Source organism: Homo sapiens, chromosome 15 (genome assembly GCF_000001405.40).
Source record: "Homo sapiens chromosome 15, GRCh38.p14 Primary Assembly".
In the NCBI taxonomy this organism is placed as follows: Eukaryota; Metazoa; Chordata; class Mammalia; order Primates; family Hominidae; genus Homo; species Homo sapiens.
The window spans coordinates 25659274-25665808 of record NC_000015.10 but is presented as its reverse complement, the minus strand read 5'-3'; positions in this window follow the sequence as shown (position 1 = coordinate 25665808).

The following is a 6535-nucleotide window of genomic DNA, read 5'->3' as shown; positions in this document are numbered from 1 at the left end:
CTGAGCCCAATATGAAAGGGAACTGTAAAGATCACAGCAGCAAATAAGCTCTGGGTACACCCAAAGGGGTCCAGTTGAATCTGAAGTGTGCAGACATTCGGACGTGGTACCACACATGGCCTGGGCGAAGTGAGAAATCACCTTTCCATTCCACACAGACACCTCCTGAGCTCACAGGCCCACACCCCAAGTCAACCCCTACCCCATTCCTCCCCTACTGTCCCCATCTCTGACCCCACCCAATCCTTTCTGAAATCTTCTTAGTTCAGCTTCAAAATGTGTCCAGATGCAATTGTCTCTCCCCACCACCACCCCCAACCCCTGCACTGACTTCCCTGGGACTGCACTCACAGTCCGACATTTGCTCCCAGCAAAGGGGGCCAGATCTCCGTGACCTCCTGCATATGGAGGGGCACACTCCACACTAGGGAGCTGCAGGTCCTGCTCCTCCATGCTCTGTGAGGCCCCTGCACCCTGCGGAACACTCATGATCACCCCACCTGTTCTACTAGGCTCAAGCTTTTCTCTTTCCTCCATGCCTGCCACCCTCTTCAGATAAACTCTCCAATTCACTTTTACACAGATGCTCCTTGGTCCTTGTCTTTGCCCTGCCATGAAGTTAGGGGGTTATCTTTGTCTTTGTTTTGTTTACTTCAGTATCCCAAGTGCCAAGAGCAGTGCCTGGTACACACAGAATGTTCCATAATTATTTCTATGATGAATGAGTGATGGAGCAAACGAATGAATGGATTCAAAGATGAGTGAGACAGATGACTCAGACTTAGTTTCAGGTCGTTTCCATCTGGCTAACTACCAAACCAGCAGACTAGCCGTGTGAAGGATACACCCAATGTCAGAGGAAAGACTTGGGCTGGGCACATTCTCTCATTCCCACAGAGGAACACTCAAGTTCTCGGCAAGCCTGTGCAGAGTGAGTTTGACCGTCAGAGGCAGTTTGTCCCTCTAGGCTGGGGTCATGCCAGCCTTCAGGGTCCACCTGTTATCATAGAAGAGTTTCTTACTCCATAGTTAGAAACTTGTGTGTCTCTCTCCTGCTTGTGATGGAGCCAGGGCCATCGCATCTTGTGTAAAGTGAGAGATTCTTAGAAAACTGCTCCTAGGAATATGGATGAGCCTTGAGGACATTATGTTAAGTGAAATAAGCCAGGCACAGACAGGTCAATACTGCATGTTCTCACATGTGGGAGATAAAAAGGTGCATATCATAGAAATGGATAGCGGTTACTAAAGGATGAGAAGAGGTAGGATAGTGAGACATGAGTTAACAGATACGGAATTACAGCTAGATACAAGGAATAGATTCTAGCAGTAGGGCCAGGTATAGTGGCTCACGCCTATAGCAGATTGGGGGGCCAAGGCAGGCAGATCACTTGAGGCCAGGAGTTCGAGACCAACCTGGCCAACATGGCAAAGCCCCGTCTCTACTAAAAATACAAAAATTATTTGGGTGTGGTGGCACACACCTGTAATCCCAGCTACTTGGGGGGCTGAGGCACAAGAATCACTTGAATGTGGGAGGCAGAGGTTGCAGTGAGCTGAGATTGTGCCACTGCACTTCAGCCTGGGCAACAAGAGTGAAATTCTGTCTCAAAAAAGAAAAGAAAAGAAAAAGAAAAAAGAAAAACCCATGACATGCTTTTTTATTTGACGTGGCGTGCCCACCCTGTCCCTGTATTTTCCACCACCCTTAGCCCCATTCCACAGCAGAGGATGTGGGAGGATGTGTGAGGCTGTGGGCAGGAAGAGGGTATCTCCTCAAAAGGTGTAATATTGGCTTTTAGGGAAGATCAAAATGGCAATGTCAAAATGTCTCACACTCAAGCAAAGCAAGACGTTCTTTCCATCAACCATCATCACCTGGGCACCTGGAGATCCCTGGTGCACAGAGGGGTATCCACCATGAGGCCTGTCAGATGCCTCCATTTGGAAAGCAAAAGGCCGGCGAGTGGGTTGGGTGGGAGGCAGTGAGATGTGAGTTTTGAGTGGTGATTCTTCTCTACAGGCCCACAGAACATACAGGCCATCTGTCGGGTCAAGTCTTGTTTGCAGTGAACAGTCAGCTGGTTTAGAATGTCCACCACTGAGTAAGTGTTTCCCAGATGCCAGCTGCTGTCAGGGACTCTCTCTCCAGACCCAAATTAGAGAAAGTGGCTGAAATTCGATTGAGAAATAACTTGAGTACAGTATTAAGAATCTCTAAGTACTACTTCATACCCGTTAGGACAGCTATTGTATTTTTTGTTTAAAAAAAAAAAAGGAAAGAAAATAGCAAGTATTGGTGGGGATGGGGAAAACTTAAACACTTGTTCCACTGGTGGGAATATTAAATGGTAAAATCACTGTAGAAAACAGTGTGGCAGTTCCTCAAAAAACAAACAAACAAAAAAAAAAACAAAAACAAAAAACACATAGAATTACCATATGATTCAGCAATTCCGCTTCTGGATATGTACCCAAATGAATTTAAGGTAGAGATTCAAGCAGATATTTGCACATCCATGTTTATAGCAGCATTATTCACAACAGCCAAAAAGTGGAAGCAACCTACGTGTCCATCAACTCAGCGAATAAAGAAGATGTGGTGTACGCATACAAGGGAGTATTAATCAGCCTTGAAGAGGAAGAGCATTCTAACACGTGCCACGACATGGGGGAGCCTTGAGGACCAGTGAAATAAGCTGGTCACAAAAGGAAAATGCTGCACGATTCCACTTATAAGAGGTACCCAGAGTAGTCAGATTCAGGGACAGAAAGTAGAAGGGTGGTTTCCAGGGGCTGACAGGAGGGGGAATGAGGATTAGTGTTTAATGAGCACAGAGTTTCAGTTTAGAAAGATGAAAAAGTTCTGGAGTTGAACGGTACTGATAGTTGTGCAACAAGGTGAATGTGTGATACTTAATGCCATTGAACTGTACACTTAAAAATGGTTAAGATGGTAATATTTATTTTATGTATATTTTACCATAATAAAGAAGAAGAGGAAGCAAAGGAGGAGGAAGAGGTAGAGGAGGAGGATCAGAATCTCTAAGTGGATTTGCTACAGAGGAAGCATGCAAAAGCTTTTCCCCTTAGCCCTCCCTTTCCTGATCCACTGTCCAGTAGACTTGCCTGAGCTCCTCCCCACTTCTGGAGTACGCATCGCCTTTAAAACACAATCTTTTTGCCTACCCAAGGACTACGTGCTCATGGTTTAAGGTGCCCAAAAGGACCTAAACCATGACATTTAAAAAAGGCAGTTGCCAACGCCTCCCTCCCTGCCTGAGGTTGAATTCTACTTTCAACCTGGTTCTTCCAAAGTTCTAAATAAAAATGCTTGTTGTCCTGTTTATTGATTGATTATCCATCCACTGTCTGCTATGAGATGAAAACTTAGCACTTACCTGCCCCTCCCACCCCAATGCTTCCAGTCTATCCCCATTTCTGTTAAATCAGTTTTCATTGCTTACATTTTCAACACTGAGCCCAATATACTGCTAGGCTAGTCCCATTTGCTGTCTCACGTAAGTTTTTTATACTTGTTTGGAATTAAAACTGACTGTTCCCTTTGCCTCATTTTCTATATAGCTATCCCAAATTCATCTTGTCCCACCTAATGGGACAGCAAAATGCCTCTCAATGCTGTTTTCCACACAAACACATCAGGTAATGGACTGGTTCGGGCAGTGTACTCGTGCCACCTCCTACTGGCTGAAAGAATCTGCTGTTAAATATTCAGGAATTCTATAATTTAGTTGCTCAACACAGCATGGTGAGAGCCTTTACAGTACAGAAATCAGCCAATGCTACAAGTCAGGTTTTGATTTGTTTTTACCAGGGAGCCGTTTCCCCACATAGCAGGTATCAGTTCTGTCTTTCCCTGCAGGGCTCTCTTCTAGCCCCCTCCTGCTGCTGCAGGCAGCAAGCCTGCCCCCCTGGCCTTCACTTACCACCTGGAGCGGTCCCCTCCACCCTCCCCAGCATTGTATTCCATTTCTCAGTCAGATATCTCCTTCTTCTTCATTTACTCCCTATTTTGGGTGAAATCTTCCAGTAGCTTCCTTAGCAAGAGTGTACTGGAAATAAATTGTGTGATCTATTAAAGAGAAAAATACTCCTGGCACTTGTTAAGTAAAAGGTGGTAAGGAAGACTTTATTCAAGGGGGGCTGCCACAGTGGGGTTTTGTAGTAGGCAAGAGACACTGGCTCAATTCTGACTACAATAAGCAAAAATGCAGATGTATAGGCAAGAAGCAGGTGTGGGGGGCTGGTGGATGGAAAATTACCAAGAGTCATTCTTTGCTAAGGCAGTTCTTTGCTAAAATGACCTATCTGAATTTTTGCTGAAGGTAGCCAGGGTGATAAGATAGCAAGAGGGGTCGGACTAAGGGTGGGGGATTTTCACTAAGTGACTCAGGAGGATTCTTGCTAAGGTCAGAGTAAGTGGGCCAAGAACAGAGCCCAAGGTCAGGGCCCAGTCAGAATTCAGAGGAGCCGGACTAGAGTTAGATCAAGGTAAGAGCATTGGTCAGGTCCTTTGCTTGCTTTATCCTTGCTCATAATTGACTGATAATAGCTTGACAATGAAATTCCAGGTTGAAAATAACTTTCCCTTGGCATTTTGAAGGCCTTCCAGTGCCTTCCACCTTGCAATGTTGCAGCTTAGAAGTTGGTTGGAAGCCATCCTCGTTCCCAGTTATTTGCATGTGATTGTTATTTTGTCTTTCTGGAAGTGTTTATGATCTTTCCTTTATAGCTGCGTTATAAAAATTTTACAGTGACATGAGTTGCCTTGGAAAAAATACTTGAAAAAATTTTTCAGTATTTTCCTGGGATACATAACTGACACTTTAAATCTGAAAACTCTTGTCCCTTCCTCTTGACAGTTTTTTCTTATTCTATTGATAAATTCCTCTTCTCTCTGTTTCTTCGGTTATTCCTTTATGGAATTTATAATTCTTTGTACATTTAGAGTCTACTTTTTCTCTTTTCCTTTATATTTTCACCTTTGTCTTTTTGAATCTATAAATATTTTCTAGGATATTTCGTTGACTTTTTCTACTCATTAAAATTTTTAATTTGATATACTTTTAATTTCTTATTTTTAAAGTTCTTTTAAAAATTTTCTTTTTCCTTTTAATTAATAGAGATGGGGGTCTCACTATGTTGCCCAGGCTTGTCTCAAACTCCTAGGCTCAAAGCAATCCTCCTGCCTTGGCCCCTTACAGTGTTCGGTTCACAGGCATGAGCCACTGTGCCCAGCCTATAATTTTAATTCCTAAAAGCACTTTTTTGTTCTTTATTATTTGTAATGCCTTCCTGTTTTTTTTCATAGGTGCAGTATTTTGGGGGATATTATGTTTTTCCCTGTTTGTTTTGAGCTCTAACTTTCGTGTATGATGCTTTCTCAAATGTTTGATGATTCTTTGTATATATTTAAAAGTAAATGATTGAAATCTAATTGGAGATAACAATTTTCCTTAGGGTGATTGAGCTGGGACCCAAGTTAGAGAAGTTGCAGGTCTTTACTTTGGGGCTATTTAGTTATTATAGTAATGAGGCATCCAGTCTGCACCCTGGGGTGGTGTGGACCAAGCACAGGTGTGTCTACCTGTGCTGTGGAGCAAGCCGGGGCAGGGCTGGAAGCTCTCCCCTTCCACAACAGACAGGTAACCTGTTCTCACACCAGTCTCTCACCCCTCTCTCCCACTGCCAGAGTTCACAGGCTTCTGGATGCGTTTCTTCTGTGTAGGGGGAGGGTATGTGCTTCTGCAGTCAATGCACCCTCTCCTGGTGTTCTGGGGTTCCTGGCGCCCAGGCTTCCCGGGCTCTGCAGGGAGACTCCGGGCTCTTTGCACATCTCAGTGGCGACTCCTTCTCTGTTCTTTCCCTGCTGCCTTCCTTTCCTCTAATCATCGGATGCTCTTGTCCACTAGGTCGGTCTATACACTGTTTTCTCCCCGACTATAACTTCCTGCGGTTCCGGAAGGAGCTGAGATAAATACGGGTGTTCAGCCCGCCATCTTTAACTGGACGTGGATTTATCCACCACTTTTCTTGCTCTTTTTGTTTTGCATTCTGTCCCTGGTAGGAGCATCCCTACGCCTTTGCCAAGGAAATCCCTTCTCCTGCACTCTTGCCCCATCTCCCCCCGATGCCATAGTCTTTCTTCTTTTTTGTTTTCCACCTCTCTTTCTTTACTGACTCCTTCTCAGCCTGCAGGTATGCTCGCTCCCCCACCTCCCCTCATTCAAAGCTGATGAATTTTCCTGGACCTCTTCTATGAGACGGACACTGAGGCTGCACAGATGAGCACAGCACATGCCCGATCCCCGCCGGGCGCGGAGGCAGCTGAGCATGGGCAGGGAGAGGAGAGCCAGGCCCCGGCTGCGCAGGAGAGGGCAGTGGGCGCTACACACCAGGCTGCAGGAGTAGAGGCTCCTGGGGCGCAACGGGTGGGGAGGCCTCCAGAGGGGAGAGCCCAGGGGAGTGAGAAATGCTCTTCCAGATTATTTTACATACTAAGGAAGCTAAGGAA